Source organism: Homo sapiens, chromosome 1 (assembly GCF_000001405.40).
Source record: "Homo sapiens chromosome 1, GRCh38.p14 Primary Assembly".
Taxonomy (NCBI): domain Eukaryota; kingdom Metazoa; phylum Chordata; class Mammalia; order Primates; family Hominidae; genus Homo; species Homo sapiens.
The window spans coordinates 54,067,164-54,093,338 of NC_000001.11; the positions used below are offsets into that span (position 1 = coordinate 54,067,164).

Genomic DNA, 26,175 nt, shown 5'->3' on the forward strand with positions numbered 1-26,175 from the left:
GAGAAGTGGGTATATTGGGAGGGCTGTTACCCGCCGAATTCTTTAGGACAAAGATGTGGGCAAGTGTGGGAGAAAATACTGGGTGGCCTGGAGTTGAATGAAAATTGATGGGTCCACAAAGATACTTGGAAGGACACTGGGATCCCTATAGGGAGAGCCTGTGGGAGGTGGGTTGCCAAAAACTGGGGAAGCGGGAGGACTTGTGGATGGCTGGCAGAAGGAGACAGTGCCCACAGTATGGGAACTCAACAGTGGGAGCTTTCCAAGGAACTGCAAAAGTAACCTATACGAGAAAAAGAAAGTCAGCTTTCAACATCTGCCAAGTCCAGGTAGTACTAAAACCTGATTAGCATAGTATCACTATGTTAAAGTAAGGCTTTTCCTTCCCCTTTCCTCTTTTCCTTTTCCTGGCTTTGAACCTGGAAGGGTCAGAAACCAAACCAAACAAGTGGATTGGAGAGGAAGAGAAGCAAAGTTGGAGTGAGAGGGAAATCAAACACCCTTCTCCCACCATAGGCTTCTAGGCTGGAAGCAGACACCAGCCAAGGGAGAGAGATAAGACTTTTTTGTTGTTGCTTTTATCAAACTATCATATAGAAAATGCATGTAGAAAACTGCACAAATTGTAAGTATATATGAGGAATTTTCACAATAAACACACCAGCATCCAGATCAAAAAACAGTATTACCAGAATCCCAGAATCCCCTTCAATTCCCGAACTGTGCCCACCTCCCTCAGATAATAACAATCCAAGATGAGATTTTTTTGTGTGTAGTTGTAAAAGCAAATTAAAAGTCTCCCACTTTACTTTTTAAAAAATTATTAGTGGAATAATTTCAATACTATAGAAAAGTTTGCAACACAGTGTGAAGAACTTTACCATCTCCTTTACCCAGATTCTTTAACTGTTAATTTTTTATACTTAATGGAAAGATGCATATCAACTTTAAGATGGTACATAGTTTCTTCTAGGAAGGGAAAGAGGGGAATGAGTTGATGCAGGGTACAAAGGTACTTAAACTTTATAATGTTTTATTATTTTATGTGAAATGGCAAAGTGTTCATTTTTTCCATTATAAATAGTGGGTTACTCTCTGTATCTTTCTATGTGTTTGAAGTTTTAAAAAATTATTTGAACAAGAGAGAGTTTTGAATTTTATCCTCTAGGAAGTGGGGAACTACTGAAGTGTGCTTTTGATTGTTGACATAAACATGTCTATGACTTCCCTGCTCGCTGTTCTTGCCTATGAATTAAGACACTCTTAAGTGAGCTATAGAGTTGATTCACCTCAGCATTGTTTTTCTCTTCTCATCCTTATTGCCTCTCACTGCTAAGTGCCCAGTGGTGTCTGAGATGGTAAAATTAAAACTTGTACTTTTCCTAATAGATGCACCTCTCTTCCTGATTTGCACTAAGCCGTACCTGCTTTTAAGCAATTACCCATCATTTGGGGCCATCAGATGCACTGTACTTTGGTTCAGGTCATAATCAATAATTCATATGTCAATAGGAGCCCCATTAGCTCAGGTGAAGGCAGATGTCTTTCTAATGAAAATGTTCCATTTTCCAAATGACTTTTCTTTTTCCCAGAGAGTTGTGGTTGTAGAAGACATAAAAAGATGGAAAACTATGCTGGAGCTTCCTGATCAAACCAAAGAGAATCTTGTTGAAGCCTTACAAGAATTAAAGAAGAAAATACCCTCCAGGGAAGTGTTAAAATCAACAAGGATAGGTATATTCCTTCTTAATTTTATTTTTTAAGAAAGCTTATATTTTGTCTCCCTTCTTCTTTCCTTCCTCTCTCCTTCAAACATGAAGTTATCTGCCTTATCAATGCTTTCAACTCTCTGGTAAAGGACTGTTGTTTAAAAAATTATCTGTTGGTTGCAGGCCAATACCTTGGTAATATATTAAAAAAATTATCAGAAAAATGAAATATACAAAATACAAGCCCCAGTTTTTAAAATTAGATTCAACAGATATAGGATTACTCTTGTCAAATTACTATGAAAGTTTCTAAATGCTTACATTTAATTTATGTACTTACTTCATGGACTGGAAACTGGCAATAACACATGGATAACATTTTGAGTGTGTTAGATGCTGGGTATGCAGAAATGGATAAGACATGATTTGTGACCTCAAGAAACTTAGGATTTGGGCTGGGTGTGGTGGCTCATGCCTGTAATCCCAACACTTGGGGAGGCCTAGGTGAGCAGATCACTTGAGGTCAGGAGTCCAAGACCAGCCAGGACAACATGGCAAAACCCCGTCTCTACTAAAAATACAAAAATTAGCCAGACATGGTGGTCCGTGCCTGTAATCTTAGCTACTAAGGAGGCTGAGGCATGAGAATTGCTTGAACCTGGGAGGCAGAGGTTGCAGTGAGCCAAGATCGTGCCACTGCACTCCAGCCTGGGCGACTCAGACTCTGTCTCAAAAAAAAAAAAAAAAAGAAACTTAGAGTTTGGTAGAGGAGACGAGCATATAGACAAATGGGAACAGTGAAATATTGTAGGTGTAAATAAAAACGTGTAAATAGTGTTCTGAGTACTATTCTAATCTAAACAAGGTATATACTGGGGACTTCAGAAAAGGCTTCATAGAAGAGGTGACATTTCAGTTACATCTTGATATTATAGCATTGGAGATATTTAAAAGGTAAGTCAGGGACCATGTTGAATTGCCATTTTAGTACAGTACACAACTGTGAATAATACGTAAGGGAGGGCCAACATGTGTTACTCAAGCTGCTCCCAGCTCCCCAGGGAGTCCAGGACAGTCATTCACAGCTGCTGTTCTTGCCCTCACTAGTGCAGCCATTGCCTTGGTCTGCCTCCCCTTGACCTCTTGTTCATGAGAAGCAGGAGAGAGAGCAGCTTCAGAACTGGCACTAACAGCTGGGAAGAGCTGTGCAAAATCCCCAGAGGGCCCCCCAAGAGTCTTAGAGTTGTACCCCTGTAATATAAACCAGAATCTGAGAAAATCAGATGCTTTAAGAATATAAGACCCTATCATTGTAGCCAAGGAGATTCTCCCATCTGCTGCTGGATTTTGTCTTTATAGGTTATAATCACTAGGGGGCAATAAGACCATTCATATGAGCAGATAAAGTATTTCCACCAGTAGAGGGTACTAGTGATTACTAGTTTATGACATGTATATGTGTACATATGTATATGTATATAGTTAAGCACATTCCACAAATACTATATATGATCATAACTTAAATATCAACATAATAGGCCGGATTTGAAGGTTTTAAGATTATAATTAAAAAAATAATTTCTATTTGGTGTTCGAGTGTAATTGTGAGTATGCTTTCAAGAATGGGTATTTCTGATGTTTGGAGATTTCAATTCAAGGATCATAATGAAACCACAACAGGGCTTGACTTAGGAGGAACTGGAAACCATCCAACTTTGAGTTTTGACTCTATCCCAAGCCTCCCCTAAACCTGAGGTTGTATGGAATATAGGAGTTTCTTGGTTTCTTTATAGTTACATCAGTTGCTATGCTGAAGATTTCATTTGGATCATTGCCTGAGAGTGTTTACATTTCTTCAACCTTTAGTCTTCCTGCCTTTTCCTATCCTGTGGGTTATAAGGGACAAATATTTACTGAGTACCTTTCCTGTGTTGGGAACTATATAGGCATAATAATGAAGGAGACAGATATTGTCCTGCCTTTTTGGAGCCTTAAGTCTAATAGAAACACAGTTTAACAAGACTTCATCATACAATGTGATGAGTGCTCTGATGATGGGGAGAAGTTAGCAAAATGACTATATGTGTTAGGAGTAGGGCAGAAGGTATTGAAGAATGTGTCAGGCCGGGGCACATCACGTGAGCTGTATAGAAGGTGGAGGTGGGAGAGAACATGGTGCATTCCAGAAACTAAAAGTAGTTTGGCGTGTTAGAAATGTAATGTGCTTGAGAGAGCGTGGCAAGAAATGAGGCTGGAGAGACATTCTGGACCAGATGGAGAAGGTTCTTTGTAAGCCATTCAGAACTGTTTGGTCTTGGCATATGTATTAGTTATCTATCACTGTGTAAAAATTACTCTAAAATTTAGCTGCTGAAGACAATATTTATTTTTTCACACAATTTTTTTAAGTTGAGAATCCAGGAGCAGCTTATCTGGGTGGTTCTAGCACAGGGTCTCTTATGAGGTTGCAGTCAAGCTGCTGGCTGGGGTTGCAGTCATCTGAAGGCTGGACCAGGGCTTAAGGATCTGCTTCCAAAATGGCTCACAGGATTGCTGGCAGGAGGCCTCAGTTTCTCATCATGTGGGCCTCTCCTTGGAGCTGCTCATGACATGGCAGCTGACTTTCCCCAGAACAAGTGATCCAGGAAAGAACAAGAAAACAAGAGAACAACCAAGATGGAAGCCACGGTCTTTTATAACCTAATCTCAGAAGTGATATATCATCAGTTTTGTCATATGCTATTGGTCACACAGACCAACGCCGATACAGTTTGGAAGGCAACATAAGGGTATGAATACCAGGAGGTGATAATCATTGAAGCCTAACTTGTAGACTGGCTACCATAGCCTGTATTTCTTTTTATTTATCTTAGATACATTATACTTCCTGGACCTGCAAATTCATGTTCCATTTTGAAAATTTACAGCAATTATCTTTTATTTTTATTTTTTTTTTTGAGACAGGGTCTTTCTGTGTCACCCAGGCTGAAGTGCAGTGGCACAATCACAGCTCACCGCAGCCTTGACCTCCCGGGCTCAAGTGATCCCCCCACCTCAGCCCCCCAAGTAGGTAGGACTGCGGGTATGCACCAACACATCCAGCTAATGTTTGTATTTTTTGTAGAGATAGGGTCTCGCTAAGTTGCCCAGGGTGGTCTCAAACTCCTGGGCTCAAGCAGTCTTCTCATCTCAGCTTCCCAAAGTGCTGGGATTACATGTGTGAGCCACTATGCCTGGCAACAACAATTATTTCTTCAAAAGTTACTCTCTTTCGTTATTTCTGTTGCCTCCTTCTGAGATTCTATAATTAGAAGCATATTAGGTCTTCTGTTCTTCATACCCTTTAGTTTATCTATTTTTTATCTCCTTGTCTGACTCAGCATTGTGTGGTAATGTCTTCAGATACGTATCTTCCAAGTCACTCATTCTCTCTTCAGCTGACTCTAATCTGCTATTTAGCCCATTTGTTCTTTATTTCAATAACTGTTTTTCATTTTTAAAAATTTGCTTTATCCCCCCCAAATTTTTTTTTTTTTCTTTTTGAGACAGAGTCTTGCTCTGTCGCCCAGGCTGGAGTGCAGTGGCGCGATCTCAGCTCACTACAACCTCTGCCTCCTGGGTTCCAGCAATTCTCCTGCCTCAGCCTCCCAAGTAGCTGGGACTACAGGCACGTGCCACCACACCCAGCTAATTTTTGTATTTTTAGTAGAGACGGGGTTTCACCATGTTGGTCAGGATGGTCTCGATCTCTTGACCTCGTGATCTGCCTGCCTCAGACTCCCAAAGTGCTGGGATTACAGGCGTGAGCCATCGGCCTTGGCCTCCCAAAGTGCTGGGATTACAGGTGTGAGCTACCGCACCCAGCCCCAAAATGTTTTTTATAAATTTTTTTTTGGTGCATTCTTGTGATTTTGCCTTTTATTTCTTAAACATTTAATATCTAGTTCTTCTGTATTCATCTGACTATTCTAATATTTATGGTTCTTGGGGATTTAAATCTGTTATTTATTGTTTCTGCTGACTGATGGTACTTGCCTTCCCATGTGCTTATTGATTTTTAATTGCAAACTCATTATTGTATTTCTATTTTTCTTTTAACTTTATTTTTTTTGAGACAGGGTCTCACTCTGACTCCCAAGCCGGAGTGCAGTGGCACAGTCACAGCTCACTGCAGCCTTGAACTCCTGGGTTCAAGGGATCCTCCTGCCTCAGCCTTCCGAGTAGCTGGGACTACAGGTAGATGCCACCATGCCTGGATCATTTGTTTAATGTTTTGTAGAGAAGGGGTCTCGCTGTGTTGCCCAGGATGGTCTTGAACTCCTGTACCCAAGTGATCCTCCTGCCTTGGCCTCCCAGAATGCTGGGATGAGAGGCATGAGCCACTGTGCCCAGCCTGTATTTCTATCTGTAGGAATTCTGTGGGGCTAAATTGAGAAGCTTCCCTCCAAAGGGGATTAACTTCTTTTGTTTCTGCCAATAATCAGAGGCCATCTCTGACCTGGAATACTTTAGCACACCTCTTAAGGATCTTACCTCAGTATGAGAGTCCCAGCTCCCCTCCTCGCTACTGGCCCACAGCTAAGTATTTCAGCAGCATTGCTATTGATATCAGCCCTTAGGATAACCCCACCCCTCCCTGAGTGCACCCTTCTAGCCTCTGCTAACTTTTTTGTTGGGGTTAGGTGGCTTTTATCCAGGATCTAGTAATACTGCAGTGAAAGAGTAGCTTTAGTCCGCCATAAAGCTTGAGAGTTTGCTCTTTATCTTAAAGATAGTAGGATTATTATTGAAGACTTTTGAATGGAGGAATGACATATTCAGTTTAGAAAAATCTGTCTGGTTGCCATGTGGGAAAAGTGTTGGACAAAAGCAAACCTAGAGGCTGGAAGCTCAGTTAGGAAGCTACTAAAACATCTGCATAAGAAATGAGAGTGGCCTGGATGGAGTATCAATCATGGGGATGAAGAAATTGTAGTTGGAATCAAGAGACATACATGTAATAAATCCAAAGGACTTGTAGATTGATTGGATGTTGGGAATGAAGATGAAGCAGTGAAGGCTGAGGGCTAGGTTTCTGATATGGGCAAGTAGGTGGATGGCAGTACCACTCATTAAGATAGGGAACAGCAGGTTTGGAGGTGGAGGGAATAATAAGTTCCATTTTAGACTTATTCTGTGGAACATCCCAAAAGAAATGTCCAACAGAATGCTAGAAATACAAGAGTGAAGCTAAGGAAAGATTGTAACTATATACTGGGGAGTCATTATCAGCATAGAGCTGGGAAATGGTGTGATAATAGTAGATAAGCTGCCGGGCGCAGTGGCTCAGGCCTGTAATCTCAGCACTTTGGGAGGCCGAGGCGGGTGGATCACGAGGTCAGGAGATCAACACCATCTTGGCTAACACAGTGAAACCCCCTCTCTACTAAAAATACAAACAATTAGCTGGGCATGGTGGCGGACGCCTGTAGTCCCAGCTACTCAGGAGGCTGAGGCAGGAGAATGGCGTGAACCCGGGGGGCAGAGCTTGCAGTGAGCCGAGATCATGCCCCTGCACTCCAGCCTGGGCAACAGACCGAGACTCCGTCTCAAAAAAAAAAAATATAGTAGATAAGCTTGCCTAGGATGAGTTTATAAGTTAAGAAGACCCAAGAGCTGAGTCTAAAATCCAGAAACACACCAGTATTTAAGGACTTATAGAAGAAACCGAGAAGGTACGACCAGAGAAGCAGAAAGAAAACAAAAGAATGCTGTCATGGAATGCAAAGGAAAGAATGTTTCTAGGAGGGGATTGGTTAGCTTTGTCCATTCTTGTCAAAGGGCCAAATAAGATACATCTAAAAATTGCACATTGGATTTTGCAAAATGAAGTCATTAATGATCTTACTTAGGACCGTTTCAAAAGTAAGGTTAGGGGCAGAAGCTTGAGGAGTGAAGAAGATGTATGAAAATGAAACAAAATAGACAACTCTTTCAAGAAGTTTGGTATTGAAAGAAAAGAGAGGTGACAATATCAGAAAGGGAATGTGGTATTGAAGAAAGTTCTGTTTTTTAAGATGGAAAAGGATCCTAACATGTTGAATGCTAATGGCAAAGATTCTGTAGAGTGAGAGAAGTTAGTGTAGGAGAATAATAACAGGGTGAGCCCCTTAAATTGTTAAGATTGATTACCAAGATGAGGATTAGCAAGAGCCTTGGATCATCATTTGATCTGTGTTTTATAGAATCTATATTCATTCATTCATTCAACACATACTGAGTACCTTCCTTGTCCTATGCCTTATGCTGGGTGCTACAGAATAATGCATGGTTCATGTTTGTAAGGCGCCCACATTCTCTGGAGAAATAGGCATTCAGGTGTATAATAATGATTGACGTGAAAATGCTAAAATCAAGGGATGTACAAAGGTCTGTGGGAATACAGGGGAGACGGTGAATACTTTTGCTTAGGCAAGTGGAGAAGGGTTTTTATAGAAGAGATGGGACTTTGCTAGGTCAAAATGAGATCTGGCTCCTTGCAGGCAGAGACATGAGTAAAGGAATGGAGGCTTGAAAATCCTGAAAACATGCTAGAATGTAATATGCATGGCTAGAATGGGCAAGGGTGGATAGTGATTGGGCCTGATTATAAAGAAACTTAAAAGCTAGCCATTAGGGTATGGACTTTTCCCAGATGCCATTGTTTTCAAGTGTGGATTTCTTAGAACTGTGGTCCAGTGAGATGTTATTTGAAGAAAGTGTCCTGGGTTCAAATAAAGCTTGGAAAATGCCACATTACTATTTCCTCTCCTTTAGAGGTTTTCAGTATACTTTGTCATTTAATAGGCTAGATGAAATCCTACAATAAAGAAGCCTGTTTGGCCAGGCACGGTGGCTCACACCTCTAATCCCAGCACTTTGGGAGGCGCAGGCAAGTGAATCACTTGAGGTCAGGAGTCTGGGACCAGCCTGGCCAACATGGTGAAACCTTGTCTTTACTAAAAATATAAAAATTAGCTGGGTGTGGTTGTGCGTGCCTGTAGTCCTAGCTACTCGGGAGGCTGAGGCAGGAGAACCCGGGAAGCTGAGGCAGGAGAACCCAGGAGGCAGAGGTTGCAATGAGCCAAGATCATGCCACCGCACTCCAGCTTGGGCAACAGAGCAAGAACTTGTCTCCAAAAAAAAAAAAAGAAGAAGAAGAAGAAACGTGTTTTATTTTATTTTATGAGTATTTTTTTGTTTGATTTTTAACTTTTATTTTAGGTTTAGGGGTACATGTGAAGGTTTGTTATATAGGTAAACTCCCTGTGTCATGAGGGCTTGTTGTACATATTATTTCGTTACCCAGGTATTAAACCTAGTACCCAATAGTTGTGTTTTCTGCTCATTACCCTTCTTCCACCCTCCACCCTCAAGTAGACCTCAGTGCCTCAGTGTCTGTTCCCTTTTTTGTGTTCATGAGTTCTCATCATTTAGCTCCCACTTATAAGTGAAACATGCAGTATTTGGTTTTCTGTTCCTGCGTTAGTTTGCTAAGGATAATGGCCTTCAGCTCCATCCATGTTCCCACAAAGGACATGATCTTGTGCTTTTTTATGCCTACATAGTATTCCATGGTGTATCTGTGCCACATTTTCTTTATCTAGTCTGTCATTGATGGGCATTTCAATTGATTCCATGTCTTTGCTATTCTGAATAGCACTTCAGTGAAGGTGGGTATCTTCTTAGCAACCTATGAGCTTTAGAAACAGCTGTTACTGGAACCATTTAATGGTAGCTATAGGATGACATGATGAGCGTTTCTGGTGACCAAGAGAAAAATGCATAGGAAAAGGGTGTTATAGAGAAAGAACAGGTAGAAATCAGGAGATCAGATAGGAGGTCATTCAGATATTCATTCATGTGCCAGGCAGTGTTCTGGATACATGTGATTAAAACAAGACAAAAATTCCTATCCTTGTGAAGCTTACATTCTAGTGAGGAGACAGGCAATAAAGAAGAAACATAATAAACAAATTGTGTAGTTATGTTAGAAGATGATAACTACTGTGCAAGAGAAAAAGTCAAGCAAGTTAAGGGGGATGGGGAACGTGGATGGTCTGGGCTGGAGTAGGCCTCATTGAGAGATGACATTTGAGCAGAAACTTGAAGGTGAGGAAGTGAGCCATGAGGATGAGGTATGGCTGTAAACATTGAGGTGAGACACGATGAAGACTTGGAGGACTGAGAGAATGGAGAAATGAAATAGCTCCTTAGAGAAACCTTATCAGGGAGAACAGGCTGGATTTAGCAAGGATTGACCATAGAGGTGAGGGAAAATGGGGATGCCCTGATGATGCCTCTCGCTATGTTGCCACCCTTATCCTCTCCACTGGCTCGCTCTTTCTGCTTTCAGACAAGCACAAATCTTCCCCTTTAATTGTCTTTGCCACCTTTTCCAAACACCTTATTTCTCTCTTTTTATAGCCAGATTCCTTTAAAAATGTTGGCTACTCGCAACTCCCATTTCTGGCCTGCCCAATCCTTTGGGAAAAGCATTCCAAGCTGTCTTCTCCCACAACCACTATTCTCTCAGGACACAAGTAATTTCATACTATCCAAATCCAATGGTCTTGTCTCAGTTCTCATCTTCCCAGACTGTGAATTTGAGACCATTGATACTCCCTTTCTGTTGACATAAATGACACTGAACTGGTTGCCAGTTCTGTATCTATTTTTAAACTGTTTGTTACCTTCATAGCCCTTATCTCAGTTTGTAATCACCTATTTAATTATTTACTTCTTTATTTTTTTATTTGCTAGGCAGTAACTCTGTGCCAGCAGAAGTTACATTTTATTTACCACTGTATTTCAAGCATTAGTGGCATACAGCAGGAGCTCAGGAATATAGTCTTCAAATGAGTGAAAATGACAACGTTGAACAAGTTTTCTCTATGGCTCTTCTCGCCTTCTGTGTCCTTGTTTCTTTCCTTTCTGTGTTTCTTCAGTCCTTGTCCTCTCTCCCCTAACAGGGTGCTTTTCCATAAAGCTCAGCCCTTAGTCTTTTGCTGCTTCTTTAGATTAGCTGGAGAGCTTGTCCATGTCTCCAGCTTAACTGAGGCCTTAATTCAGATACCTCTTGGATATGCATCTCCTATCCTGATCCATTTTTGAATCTTAGATTTTTAGAAAGGTTGTTCCAATTTACATTCCTACCATTTTCTTAAATCTTACAAATTTAAGAGGTAAAAATAGCATCTTGTTTTCATGTGCTGCATAGAATGAATTGTTTTCCATGCATTTTTTTGGCACTTTTTCTTTTTTTTGTAAACTGTCTGTTCATGTTCTTTGTACATTTACTGCTGAGATCTTATAATTTTTCTTATATATTTCTATGAGCTCTGTAAATGTCAGTGTCATAACCCTTTTAAATCCATTTACCTACTTCAGTTTATAAACAGGGAAACTGAGACCCAGAGAGATGAAGTGACTTATCCAGGGCCACCTAGTAAGTTAGCACCAGAGATGTAATGAGAACCCAGGTCTCCTGGAGCAGTGTTCCTTCCTGGTTAGCAGGATGCCATTGTGCCCTGGACCCCAGCCATATGTCCCTTTATTTTATTGGACTGTCTCTATGGGTTCTACCATCTGCTTGAATTTAACTCTTTTAAATCAGAATTTAGTGCCTTTTCTTGTATACCTCAAATGGGAATTTTCTCTCAGTATTTGCATTTGAGTTAATGTCCCTAGAGTTTTGTTCTTACATAAACCCATTAAGTGGAAATGTCCAGCAGGAGGTTGGAGATGTGGGATTCAAGCTCAGATGCAAAATTTAGACTGGAAATACTTATTTGGAAGTCATCTGCCAGGAAGTGTTTGCTTGCAATCACCTTAGTAGATGAATTCTCTAAGTAAAAGGAAAGATGAAGGGGCTGAAGAACTGAACCTGGGAGAAAATCTATGCTGGGGAAGTGGGAGGAAGAAGAGGAGCCAGATAAAGAGACTAAGGAAGTGTGGTTAGACAGGACGAGAGTCAGGGCGGTACATGGACATGCAGGCCAAAGACTGTTCTTAGAGGCAGGGGAAATGAGTGTCCTCAAGTGGTCTGGGAAGTTGAGGGCCAACTAGCAAAACGCCTTTGGAGCTGGCAGTGATAAGGCCTCTGTGAGTGGATACCTTTATTATCAAGGAAACCAAAGAGCATGGGGTATCGAGTAAATAGCTGATCAGGCAGTGGAGTTAGGCCTTGTATTCTTAACCTGGTGAGCAGGCATGCTCCATTTTTGCAACACTATATATATGAATATTCTGGGAAAAGTTTTGTCAATCATATCTGATTTCAGAGATGCTGTATTTTTGTTTATGATTGTTTAACAACAACAACAAAACCCCTCTTCTTACAAAGTACTTTCACATCTATGACCTTGTTTGATCTATATAACAGCTCTGGAAAGTAAGTGTAATTTTTTTCCATTTTACAAATGGAAAAACTGAGGCTTGGAGAGTTTAAAGTAACTTGCCCCAGGTTAGACAACCAAATAATAAATGACAAAGCTAAAATGTTCTTATACCATGTTATGCCATCTCCTGAAACCTAAAAATGAATAAAAGGCTAAAATCAAAATGATGATAGGACTGCATTCCTTTCTGGAGGCTCTAGGGGACAATCTGTTTCCTAGACTAGTTGCCTTTTCTAGTTTCTAGAGGCCACCTGCATTCCTTGGCTTGTGATCTCCTTCCTCCATCTTCAAAACTTGCAATGGTAGGTTGAATTCTTCTCACATCTCATCTCTGACCCATCTTTCTGCCTCTTCTTCACTTTTAAGGACTCATGTGACTAGATTGGGCCCACTTGGAAAAGCCAGGCTAATTTCTCCATCTCAGGGTACTTAACCTTAATCACATCTATAGTCTCTTTTGCCATGTAAGGTAACGTAGTCACAGATTCTGAGGATTAGGGCATAGTCATTATTGGGGACCATTGTTGTGTCTACCATATACCATACTCCTCAAATTATGCTATGTGTTTCAGGCTTCTGTGCTCTTGTTCACTCTACTTCTTGTGTTATTCCTGTCTCCTTGAGTTATCGTTATTATTATTATTTTTGTTTTGCAAAAGCCCTTCAAAAAATCTGACAGAAGTGCCAGCGCATCCAGCCCTTGTTGCCTTTGAACTGGGAGTTTAGTCACCAACTAAATTAGCATTGTCTGAGTGTGATGCTTTTCATTCTCAGGGCTCTGCAAGAAGGCTCCTGAGTGAGGTGATGCAGGGACTATGGAGAGATGCTCATTACCAGGGGTCTCCAATTTTCTTTCTTTTTTTTTTTTTTTTTGAGACAGTCTCACTCTGTCAGACAGGCTGGAGTCCGGTGGTGCGATCTTGGCGCACTGAAACCTCCGACTCCTGGGTTCAGGCGATTCTCGTGCCTCAGCCTCCCGATTAGCTGGGATTACAGGCGTGCACCACCATGCCCAGCTAATTTTTGTATTTTTAATAGATATGGGGTTTCACCATGTTGACCAGGCTGTTGTCGAACTCCTGGCCTCATGTGATCTCCCCACCTCAGCCTCCTAATAAGTGCTGGGATTACAGGCGTGAGCCACTGCGCCTGGCTGAGTTATTATTAAGACCAGGATAAGCATTGCCTCTTTCATGGTGTTCCCTGACCCCTTTACCAGCTGAATTGACTCCTCTGCCCTTTTGGCCCTCCTTGGGGTTCCCCCTTCAATACTATCTTAGGACCCGTATAACACCTTTTTGTGTGCATTTGTTTGTTTAGGTGTTGTCCCCTGACTTTCCTAGAGCTCCTTGAATACAGATTAGTCTGGATTTTCCGGGTCTTGTCTTGCTCAACATTCTATCCCAATGCCTATGAGTATTTGGTAATGTTTGGTAAATGAGCAAAAGACTGCTTCCTGCAGGGAATTTGTCTTAACAGTGTGCTGGGATGCAGAAATCCCCTAACCTTAAACCCAGGGAACTTGACCTGGGTCATAAGACCAGCCAGTGGCACTGCTTACTTTAAAACATAAACTTCATGGAGCAAATAATGACTTTTTGCAGATCATTAACTTCCTTGATGTAGCTACTGGCCAACTTATGACCTTGGGGAAAGGTCATGGAGCCTCATCTTTTTCATCTGAATCAGGAGGATGTAGGACTATCTGATCACCAGAGGGAATAGTAGAGGGTTAAAGCGTGGGCTCTGGAGCCAGACTGCTTATATATGAAACCTGGTCTGGCTTCTTGTTGTTTTTCGCAAGTTACCTCGCCTCTCAGTACCTCAGGTATCTTTACCTGTAAAATGGGGAACTATAGCACCTACTTCATAGGGTTGTTCTGAGGATTAAATGAATTAATATATGTAAAGTGGTTAACACAATAGCTGTTATTATGATTATTTTATAATTTTTTTAGGGACAGGGTCTTACTCTATCATCCAGGCTGAGTGCAATGGCGTGATCATAGCTCACTGCAGCCTCGAACTCCTGGGCACACACGATCCTCTTGCCTCAGCCTCCCAGGTAGCTGGGACTGTAGGCATGTGCCACCATACCCAGTCAATTCTTTTATTTATTTATTTATTTAAATTTTTTGTAGAGATAGGGTCTCACTATGTTGCCCAGGCTGATCTCAAACTCCTGCACTCAAGCGATCCTCCTGCCTTGGCCCCCACAAAGTGCTGGGATTACAGGCATGCCACCATGCGCAGCCTGTCATTATTAATGTTATCATGAAATTCCCTTTGTGATCTGAAATTTATGACTCTGCTCTGTTTTTGTCTAGTAGAGGGTTTCCCAGACTCCTTCTCTTTCTTGCCCCAGACTGAATTGCCTTTTTGCTGTTAGTCCTCTTTGGAAATTCTTCCCTCTTGCTGACAAGTCGCATCCCCCACTGGGCTCCTTTACAGCCCTACCTACGCTTCCTGGGCTGGTTTGGCTGGTGTTGACAGAACACTCCTGACCAGTCTGGGCATGGCTCTTGTGGGAGTATCTGAGGGATGTACTGCCCCCTGCAGGCCAAAAGCAGTGACTCCACTGTCCGGACCTGAGAGTTGAAGCTTTCTGTCCTTCGGCCACCTCTCAGGGCCTGTGCTCTTCTGATTTTGGAATACCAAGAATGTGAATAACAGTATCTCAATAGAGCCTTATTGAAGACTTCCTGTGTGCCAGTCCCTAATAACAGAGAAGTATAATGTATTAGGGGTTAAGTGTGCAGGTTCTGGAGGTGGAGTCAGGCTGCTTGTGTTCTAATCCTAGCTTCCACACTTATTAGCTGTGAGACCTTGGGCAAGGTGCCTTACTGAGTTTAGGTTTCTCATTTGTAAAAAGAGATATAATAATGGTATTTAAGTCATTGTTATAAAAATTAAATGAGATAATTCATACAAAGCCTGGAGTGATAAGCAGGAAAAATTCTCAGCAGTGGATAAGAATTAGAAACTTTTCATTTTCTCAGCACCTTTGGATTCATTTCTTTACAGTATAGTTTCATTATTTTGTTTGCAGTTGTGTGATTTTCCTAATCACCTCTATCCATATTCAAATGTCAGTACAAAACCAATTTGAAAGTCAAATGTAAATGTTTTTTATTTAACTGATTCAATTCAGCAAACATTTATGGATTGTCTCTTCTGTGCTAGGCACTATGCTGGGGGGCTGGGAATAGAACTTGGAGTAAGGTACAGGTTCTGCCCTCAACCCGTTTACAGTTTTGAGGATAAGATGGACATTTAAATATTCTAGGCAGAGGGAATGGTATGAGCTAAGGCACAGAAGTAGGAGCAGGCCAGCCAGCATGACCCCAAACAGGGACATGCAAGCTGCTCTCTATGGCTAGAAGTTAGTGTACAGAGGCAAAAGAGTGGGAGGGGTGAAAGTGAGGGGAGGGAGGAAGGAGGGCGACATGGTGACAGGTGAGGCCAAAGAGATTCTAGGTCATCCAGAGTTTTAATGCTATGTTAGAAGTTAATTTGAGGGCCATGGAGAACCATCGGAGGATTTTTATTAAGCGTATGGTATGATCAAATTGTGTTTGAAAAAGGTCATTTTGCCTTCAGTAGAGAGGATGAATTGGAGAGGGCAGGACTGGAGACAGAGATTGGTTAGTGAAGTAATACAGTAGACCTGTGGAGAAGTGATGAGAACCTGAATCAGGGTAGTAAGAGTGGAGAACAGGCGAGGAGGAAGAGTAAAAGATAGAGGGAGAATTAAGGAAGTAGATCTATATGACTTGGAATGGCTGAGTGAACATAAGGTTGAAAGAGACAGTGGATCCTAAAATGGTGGGTGGGTGGTGGTGCCATTCTGTGACCAAAAATGTTGAGTTAGAGGTGTTTGCAGAATAAGCAGGTGGAGATGTCCAGTAGGGGACTGGATATTTGGTCTCGTGCTCAGTGAGAACCTTTGGCTAGGGACACGTAGTTGGGAGTCATCTGCCTGCAGGTAGCTGGACCACAGGAGTGGGCAAGATTACTCAGGGAAGGCAAGTGGAGAAAGAAAAGAGGCCAAGGACCATGCCCTAGCTGGGGTTCACAGATAATTAAAGATTGGGCAAAGGATTAGCAGCCAGCAGAGGAGATAGAGAGGAGAAGAGACTCAGTAACAGGTGCTGTCTCCAAAAGCAATGCAAGAGAATATTTCAGTAAGAAAGCCAGTGTCAGATGCCACAGAGAGGCCAAGTAATGTCAGGATGGAGAAGGACTGCTGGATTCGACCAAGTCAAAGGACTCTCTGTTTGAGGGACTTCTGTATTATTTCTCATACATAAAGCTGGGTCAGCAGTGCGTTTCTTGGAGAGAGAAAAGGTTAAGGTGAGACTCTTATGAAGGGAAGGATCTCTTTTCTGAAAGAAACCTGAATATTGCCCTACTATAACACAGCCCAGGCTGTTAGGTTTGTTGACATGTTGAGCCAGCCCACTAGATTGTGAGCTGAACTGCATGGATACACACAGTCCCACTACTCAGAAGAGACCACCATTAATAATTTTATTGTAAATTCTTTAAGGCTTTTTTCTTTGCATATAAACAAAAATGTTGTTTATATGTATACACATATGTAGTTTTAAAAATAAACATTGACTCACACTATGTGTGCTCTGAGACCTGCTTTTTTCACTAAACTAAAAAAAGTGATCATTTTTCCGGTTACTACATGTAGAGCTATTTTAGTTTAGTGTTTTGTCGGGTTTTTTTTTTTTGAGACCGTCTTGATCTGTCACCCAGGCTGGAGTGCAGTGGTGTGATCTTGGCTCACTGCAACCTCTGCCTCCAAGGTTCAAGCGATTCTCATGCCTCAGCCTCCTGAGTAGCTGGAATTATAGGCATTCACCACCTTGCCCAGCTAATTTTTGTATTTTTAGTAGAGAGAGGGTTTCGCCATGTTGGCCAGGCTGGTCTCAAACTCCTGGCCTCCAGGGTTCCACCCACCTCAGCCTCCCAAAGTGCTGGGGTTACAGACGCTAGCTGCTGCACCCAGCCTATTTTATTTTTTAATGGCTGCAAAGTAGTTATTGTTTAAATGGACTATAATTTATTTAAAAAACAGGACCCTTAATGATGAGCTTGTAGGTTGTTCCTAGCTTTTCACTATCACAAACAATACTGGAATGAATATTTCTGTACATGTGTCTTCTTTGTACACTTTGGCAGGTAAAATGTAGGCTAAATTCCCAGGGCTGTGTTCTCCTCATCTCTGTATCCTCAGCACCAGGCATAAGGTAAATGCCCGGTAAAAGTGTTTAAATGGGCCGGGCTCGGTGGCTCACACCTGTAATCCCAGTACTTTGGGAGGCCAAAGCGGGTGGACCACCTGAGGTCAGGAGTTCGAGACCAGCCTGGCCAACATGGCAAAACCCCGTCTCTACTAAAAATACAAAAATTAGCCAGGCATGGTGGCCACTGCACTCCGGCCTGGGTGACAGAGCAAAACTCCGTCTAAAAAAAAAAAAGTGTTTAAATGCTCTGGATCTAGGTCTGATATCCTGTACGATCTTATTTATCATTTTATTTTTAGCATCTACTACAGTGACCAAGAGCATAAAATCTTGCTTGCTGAATGAATAATCTCAGGGATAAGGAGAACTCCACCTAGAAAAGGAAAGTATCCAGGGGTGCTTTGTGCTTTGTGCATTGGAATGCACTTTCCTAAGCATCGCTAGCTAGGAAGCACCTTTAGACATTTCTAATGAGTGCTCTGCATTCCTCCTCCTCTTCCTCCTTGTGATGAGTGTTGATGTACTCCTTTCCCAGGTCCATAGAAAGGCTAGGTACAAATTCTTGATAAATAATTGGTTAGAGGGAGAAGTTAAAGACTCAATATTATTTTACCCTGTCTTCCCTTCAAAGTTTTATTTTTCAACTCCAGGATTCTCTTCATAGAACCTGTAAAGCAGGGACAATTGCTTGTTTAAGCCCTACATGACTAGTGCCCAGCATAGTATCTAGAGCAAACAGGCCTTCAATAAATGTGTGGAGAATAAAGGAATCAAACAATATTGGGCCATGCAGTTGGCATAATTGGAGAAATTTTCTAAATGTTTTGACCATTTTCTCAAATAAAAATTTTTTTTCTGTTTCCCTTTGTTCAATGATGCCTCTTTCATTATGTATTAAATTCTTATGTACTATGGTCTGTTTGCGACCTTCATTTTTTAAAATTCCCTATCCATTTTCTTTTTTGGTGTTGGTCCATATCATTTTCAATGTTGTTACTTTATAATATGTTCTAATATCTTAGATCTTAGATATGAGGCTAGTTGTGCCTCATAACTCCTCTTTTTCAAAATAGCATTTTATACTCTTGCTCAGTTATATTTGTGTAGAAGTATTTGGTTGTAATCTAATAAAAATAGCCTACTGAGATTTTTGGTTGAGATTACATAAAATCTATAAACTAATTTCTTTTTTGTTTCTTTTCTTAGGCAGGGTCTTGCTCTGTTGCCCAGGCTGGAGTGCAGTGGCATGATCACAGCTCACTATAGCCTTGAACTTTTAGGTTCAAGCCATCCTCCCATCTCAGCCTCCCAAGTAGCTGAGAGTACAGGCATATGTCACCTCACCTGGCTAATTTTTTAATTTTTTGTAGAGATAGAGACTCATTATGTTGCCCAGGCTGGTCTTGAACTCCTGGGCTCAAGTGATCCTCCCATCTTGGCATCGCAAAGTGTTGAGATTATAGGCATGAGCCACTGCACCCAGGCGACTACTTTCTATATTGGCATTTTTGTGCTCATTTTTCCATCTCATAATAAGGTATATTTTCCCTTTATTCCAATCTTCTGTTATGTATTTTAGTAGGAATGTATGTTATTCTTTATATGAGTCTCTCATTCAACCAACCTGCTCTCCTGATTCCCATCTCCTGCCACGATGCTCACTGCTGGAGATACAAAGATGAGCATCCCCTAAGGTTAGGGGATTTCTTGCATAGCTCTTTCTGCAAGAAGCTCAAGTTGGTGAACAAAAGAGATAACTGATCAAATAATTACAACTAACTCTAGTAATTACCATGATAAACAGAAGCGCAAGGTGCTAAGGAAGCAGAGAGCAGGGGTACTGACCAAGACTAGAGATATTAAGGAAGAATTCCTGGAGGAAGGGACCCTTAAATGAGTCTTAAAGGCCGAATGGAAGTTGGCCAGATAACAAGAGAAGTAAGAGTATTTCAGGCAGACAGAATGTTCATTGGGGTGTATGCTCAAAAGTAAAGAGATAAAAAATAAAATGTTTTAAGAGCTGCAAGTAGCTGGAGTATTGGATGACAGTGGATAGTAGCTGGAAATGAAGATAGAAAGTAGGTAGGAGGGTGGCAGATTGTGAAGGGACTTTTATGAAAAGGTAAGAGTGGATATAGCACCAAAGGATTTAAGTGGAGGAGTGAAATGGTCAAATTTATGCTTTAGGAAAAAAGTCCCTAAAAAACAAAACACTAAAAATAAATAAAGGCTATCCTAGCTGCAGTGTGGAAGATGGCATTAAGGGGTACCAAACTTAGCTGGAGAGGTCAATCAGGGTGCCTCCATAGTCAACTGGAGGCAACATGCCCTAAGGCAGGGCAGCGGGGCTAGGGATGGAGGAAAAGGAGGAATCCTGGAGCATTAAGGAAGTGGGCACAAACAGACAGCACAAGTGCTCACACACCCATTCTTGTCCATGCTTTCCAAAGTGCTTTATAGTTTTTACTAGTTTAAACAGGATTTGTTCCCCTGTGGTGTTCTGACTGGCTATTGCTGACTTAAGAAAGCTATTGGTTTTTAAAAATATATCTGTCTTATATTCAACCCATGGAGCAGGATTAAAAAGTTCATTAAAATAAAAAATTAAAAAATATATATGTATCTTATATTCTTCCATTTTTTAAACTTTTAGTTTTAAGTGTTCAGTTGACTTCTTTAGCCTTTCTAGGTATTTATTTTTATCTAAGTACTTTGCATATTGATATTTTTGACCCTTCACCTTTTTTCCATTTTTATTATGAAATTCTCAAACATACACAAAAATAAAGAGAATATTATAACTAACTCTCATATGCCCTTCATCTAGATTCAATAACTATTAAGATTTTGTCCCACTTCATCTTTCCCTTTTTGCTTTTGTGTTGTTGCTGAGGTATTTTAAAGTAGAATCTCAGACCTTTTGTCATTTCAACTCTACATACTTCAGTATGCATCTCTAAAAAATGTGGATATTTTCTCTTGTAATCACAGTGCCATTCTTATTGTGCTTAACAAAGTTTACAATTATTCCATGGTATAATTTAGTATCTAGTGCATATTCATATTCCTTGTTTATCTCAAAATATCTTTTAACAGTTGGTTTGTTCCAACTGGGATTTGAATCACACGTCGCATTTGGTAGTTTGTACTCAAGAGATTCTTTTAATCTACAGCAGTCCCTAACCCTAGCCCCTTTTCAAAAATAAAAACAAACAAAAAACAACAACAAAGAGAAAAATCACTGACTGTGGAAGAAACCATATCTGTTGTCCTGTAGAATGTCCCACATTCAGAATTTGTCTTGTTTCTTCATACTACAATTTAATTTATTCCTCTGTCTCTCCTATTTCCTATGAATTGGAAGTTAGCTTTGAATGACTAACTGGGTTATTGTTCTTTTTCTTTTGGGGAAGAGGATAAGACTACTTCATAGGTTAAGGGTGCGAAGTACTTCTTCTGTTTCTTCTGTCTGACAGTCCCACTCTTAGGGATGCTAACATTGAACAGTGGGTTTAGATGATGACAGCTCATCCCTCCATTATAAATTTCCCCATCAGACTCATTGAATGAGTTCATCCACTGATGATTGTCTCTGAATGAATTATTTCATCAGGGCTACAAAAAAATGTTCTCATTCTGTCAGTCTTTTCACATTTATTAGCTAAATAATATTCCCATAATAACTAGGGCTATTTTGTTGTCTTGAAATACAGTATGTACCCCCTTCCCCCAAAAAACTAGATAAATGCTTAATTCATTTTTTTTAAAGTAATTTTTGGTTAAAGAAGTTACCTTTGTTGTTCTTTTTAAGAATCTATTGATTTTGCTTCTAGTTTATGACTTAATTCATTGGCTAGGCTGCTGGTTCTCCCCCAGTGATTATCTTATTATCTTAGTCCTTGTGAAATGGGTTTCTTTTGCACAAGAGTCTTTACATCCTTGGGTGTGTGAATGACTTTCTCAGTGCCACACGTCAGTCCATCTAGTCCTGCGCTTCTCAGAAGAAGATGTAACAACCTTTCCTTTGGTTTTTCTCTTCCTGTTCCAGGTCACACTGTGAACAAGATGCGTAAACACTCAGATTCAGAAGTGGCTTCTCTTGCCAGAGAAGTTTACACTGAGTGGAAAACTTTCACTGAAAAACATTCAAATAGACCTTCTATTGAAGTTAGAAGTGATCCCAAAACCGAGTCGTTGAGGAAAAATGCTCAGAAATTACTCTCAGAAGCCTTGGAATTAAAGGTAATGCCCTAAATATATACAACTGTTATGTACCCATAATAATTAATTTTTAAAAGAAGAAAAATAAAGGTAATGTCCTGGTCGGATGTGATTAGTAGGTGCTCTTGGTTAAACGCCTCATAATTTCATAATTAAGATTTCATAATCTTAATGCTGTGGCTTTATTTTAACCAGTTATTCTTTAAGGATTCTGGATTTATAAGCATTCCGGGAGACAGTGTTGTAGGAGGCAGGCTTTTGAACTAGCAAGATCTGGGTTGAAACCCTGACATTCTAGTTGTGACACCTTAGGCAGATAGCTTAACGTTTTCTGAGACTTGATTTCTTAATCTGTAAAATGTGGATTGTAAGTCCTACCACTTAAGGTATTAAAAAGGTTAAATGAATCATATATGCAAAAGAATAGTAGTGCCTGCTGATTAGAAGTTATTTAATGGATGTTGGTTACTTCCCATTTAAAATTCCTTCCCTTCTTGCTGAAGTAAAAATTCTGTGATGGACTGTGTTATGGAATATCAATGGTAAAATAAATAGCTGTCTATTGAAAAGACTCAGATCCCCCATTTTTTGTCAACAGCCATATCTTTAGCTTTAAGGCATAAAATCAATTGGATAGACTTGTTCCCTAACACCTTCATGGCTTACAATTCAGATGATGTTAGTGGTTTGAAGTATACATGCTGGAAGAAGGATTTTTGCTCATTAATAATAATATTCATTGTCATCAAACAACAAATCTTATAAGCCGATTAATACTCTGGAAAATAGGACATATAATATTCATGTTTCTTCCTTATCCCAGGATATCCCAGAGCAACTCTGCTAAAGTATCCTTAAAGAACAATTTAATATTAATAAAATAAGCAATTCAGAAGTCTGATTTAAATGCTAGCTCTGTTACTACAGTCTCTAAAAAAAATTTTAGCCTTTCTATCTCAATTTTTTATCTACAAAAGAAGGACTTGTGATATAGTACTTACTTTTTTTAAAATAAAGTTTTGGACCTGAAGTGAATTTGCACCAAAGCAGCAGCTGCATTGCCACAGTTCTGTCTTCACCTTCACCATGTTCCTCTTGGTCAAAAACGCACCAAGTCGTCTCCAAGTTTGAAGCATTCAGCAAACAATGGCAAGGCAGAGCCACCGGAAACGTACACCTGATTTTCATGATAAATATGGTAGTGCTGTATTAGCTAGTGGAACCACTTTCTGTATTGCTATATGGACATAGGTAGCAACACAAATCAGAATAGAATGGAACCTGTCCCCTGTTGGCAGGGTCACCCCAAAGGAATGGAGAGATCAGTAATCATTCCAGCTGGTGTAATAATGAATTGTTTAAAAAACAGCTCGTAGTTGATGCCAAGTTAAAGCACTGTGTACCCATTAAGATATGGCATTATTGAAGAAATAAAGTACATTTGAAACCTTAAAAAACTAAATAAAGTTTTGGGTTTTTAAATACAAACTTCTAATAGAAAATGAGAAAAATGTATAAAAGGGAAAAAAATGTAACCCAGACATAATCTTGTTAACACATTGGCACATTTCCTTTTTTGGTAAATTATTATGGGTTTTTAAATGAATGTTGGGCAAGTTATGATTATCTGAGATTTATATAGAGTGAATTATATGCCAAATGTTCCATAAGATATTTTTATTGATTATTTAAGTAACATTGCAGAATATTGATGTAATTATTTACATTTGTGTTCTCTTGAATCTTGATCAATTTTAGTTAGTGTCATTTTTTATATCCTTTTCTATATATCTTTATTTTTTCATGTTTATAATTTTTAATGACTATTTGATAGTTCAGTGAATTGCTATGCTGGAGGTTCACTTAACTTTTCCTAAAGGAAGCTTTAATATGAGTATTAAACCCTTGGAAGAGAGAACAAAGTATGAAAGTTGTAAGTCTGATTTTCCAGAGTATCGATTAGCCAACAAGATTTATTTTAAATAAAGTTTAGTTTTGAAATAAGTCAAAATTACTGCAGAAACATACAGTGTGGATATATAATACGTAGTTAATGTGGTGGTAAATACCAATTTCCTGTGGTATCTTTTTAAGTAAATGATAATAACAAAGCTATGCTTGTAAGGATTAATGAGCAGTTTGCCTACTGTATTAAACTCCACGATAATTATCCTTTTAGTTTATCCATTAATTATCCTTTAAATGGCACATCAAGTGGTAAGCACTCAAGTGTTATAAAGCAAAGTTAAAAAAGTGATATGTTTGTTAGTGTTTTCCAACATAATTGGAAAAAATATCAGATTAAGCATAGCTGAATGGTTTTGTTCCCAAAGAGTAAATTTAAAAAATTAAAAGTATGCATCTCACTGTCGTCCTTAGCCAAAAAAAAAAAAAATCACTCTGCTTTCCTTGCATAAACAGCATTTGATAGCATGTTTATCAGTTTGTTATGTCAGAGAATATAAATACAAGCACTTTTATATAAGGTTAATTCTTAGCACCTATCATCATCTGAGATATTTCCATATTAGAGCAAATCAATGAACCATCTAATTCAGTATCTGGTCTTTGACAGTAACCAATGTTGAGTGCGTTCAAATCAGACATCAGATCTTCGTAAATGTACTTAATCAGGCAGCAGTAAAGCATTGGGTTTAAGTTATTGGCCCAGTGACTTAAAAGCCTCTACAATTTGATCCTAGCATGTGTTATTGCAAATACCAAATCTTCTCATTACATTTTTGTAGAAAAAAAATGTTTCCATGTTGTTTCACTCATATCCTTTAATAGTGAAAGCCATAGATGAAGAATAATAACGCACAGCCTAAAGGTGCATCTCTTTATTACCCTACAGATCTTGCTTTCTAGATTCATGGATTATTTCCTTGTTCTTGGAATAGTGAAATAGATGAATAAAAACTCCATCGTTGAAACCCAGGCTCCATTCCCCTTTACTTTCTCCCTTCCAGATCTTCTTTGTTCTTCCCCATCTTTTAGATCTTTCCTCATATGAACATCCCCTGTGGTGTCATTCTCTTACTTCCCCTTCCTCATTATCCACTCTCCTTTCCTACCTCACGGCCTGTGATCATTTTCCTATTATGTCATTTAAAAAAATGAACCTGATTCTCAAAGTGAGCCTGTATCATTAAGAGTTATGAAACACTGGCTGGTTGGCTCAGTTGGTTGTCAGATGGTGCTAATGAGATCCAGGTCAGGGGTACGTCCCCATATGGGACTATTAGTTTTTTCTTTGTTTAATGGCCTCAGACTGCACCCCTGGCTTTGACCAGCTCTCTCATTAATGTATTCAAGTGGTCAAAAAGAAGTGTGGGTAGATATGTACAAATTCAATCATGCTATTGGAAAACCCACACAAAGTTTGCTTCCAGTGGCTATTCAATTCAACAGATGTTTAGTAAGGATCTACTTGGTGCTGGGGGAGAAGACAATCATGAATGAGTCGCATTCCCTATCCTAAGAAAGCTTTACTATCTCCTGGCTGATAACCTATAAACGATTAATTAAAATATGAGGCAGTCTGAAGTAATGGTACTAGCAAGTATCAACACATAAAGTGCAGAGCAGTTAAATCTGATGGGGGAATCTGGGAATGTTTCGGAGAAGAGATGGCAGTGGAGCCCGCCTTTGTAAGAGGTGTAGGATTTTGCTAATTAGAACATACACATAAAATAGAAACATATTTTATCTGCTATATATATGATGTTATTAGAAGGCAAGAAAGAAGGGTTACACATGGGAAGGAAGGGCATTCATTTAACAAATATTGGTTGAACATTTACTATGTGCCACTAACCTATGCTAGCTAGGCATGCACAGTTTAGAAATGGATACAACATGGTTTCAACTCTAGCAGTCCTTATAGTCTTCTGAGGAAGACAGACAAATAGATAGTTACAAGACTGTGGGAAGTTCCGCACTTAAGGTAAACGCATGAAGAAGACCCTGTTCCCATGCCCTGAGAGAGCTTATGCATGTGGCAGACATCACTAATTGGTTATGACACCACTTCCCACTGATGAAGGAGCTCAAGGTGGTCATGTTTTATATCTTCCTCCAGCTATAGCTAGTTCATCCAGAATTAGCTGTATAACACACTTAACTCACAGGCACAAACAAATAAGGATTCTGACTCTCTGTCTCTGGGAAATGTGAACTAGGAGATACCAAGAAAACAACAGTGCAAGTGTTGAACAGAAAGGATATTGGAGGAGTTGTGAGGAAGCAGAGCTGTGAGTAGAGAAAAGATGTGTAGCATAGGAGGAGAGAATAAGGCAGTTAGAATTGTTAGTGAGTAAGGCCCATGGAGAAGAGCAAAAACATGTGAGAAAGAGACCAGGCAGCCCGTGAGAGATACAGAGAAAGGATCGATTTCTAAATAAATCCCTAGGTTTCTCCCAGTGTTCCTATCCTCATTCCCATTCATACAAATTATCTCATAGCAAAAGCCCTTTTCTCAAGGACTCGGTGAAACTCTGGTCCTTCCACCCAGAAGGGCTCACCTAAAGCACCAGATTAGGACCCACTGGAAAGGACTCATCAACTTGG

The 26,175-nt window shown here is 40.0% G+C and overlaps 1 protein-coding gene and 1 pseudogene across 2 annotated transcripts in view, besides 1 other annotated feature; both read left to right on the forward strand.

The window, feature by feature from the left end:
* TCEANC2 (transcription elongation factor A N-terminal and central domain containing 2) overlaps positions 1 to 26,175 on the forward strand; it is a 58,913-nt gene that overhangs the window by 13,556 nt on the left and 19,182 nt on the right. The window contains exons 3-4 of one of the 2 annotated variants that reach the window (NM_153035.3): positions 1,593 to 1,734; positions 21,434 to 21,627. In NM_153035.3, the coding sequence (NP_694580.1) occupies positions 1,593 to 1,734; positions 21,434 to 21,627 (336 nt within the window). The remainder of the gene's footprint in view (positions 1 to 1,592; positions 1,735 to 21,433; positions 21,628 to 26,175) is intronic. The other variant, NR_130900.2, reaches the window with a different exon arrangement.
* Positions 14,589 to 14,638: an enhancer, noted in NCBI's record as "active region_1053". NCBI's record gives its function as "activates an Ori minimal core promoter by ATAC-STARR-seq in GM12878 lymphoblastoid cells {active_cell/tissue: GM12878}" and the evidence as "EXISTENCE:reporter gene assay evidence [ECO:0000049][PMID:35858748]".
* Positions 22,630 to 23,059, forward strand: COX7BP3 (COX7B pseudogene 3; annotated as a pseudogene).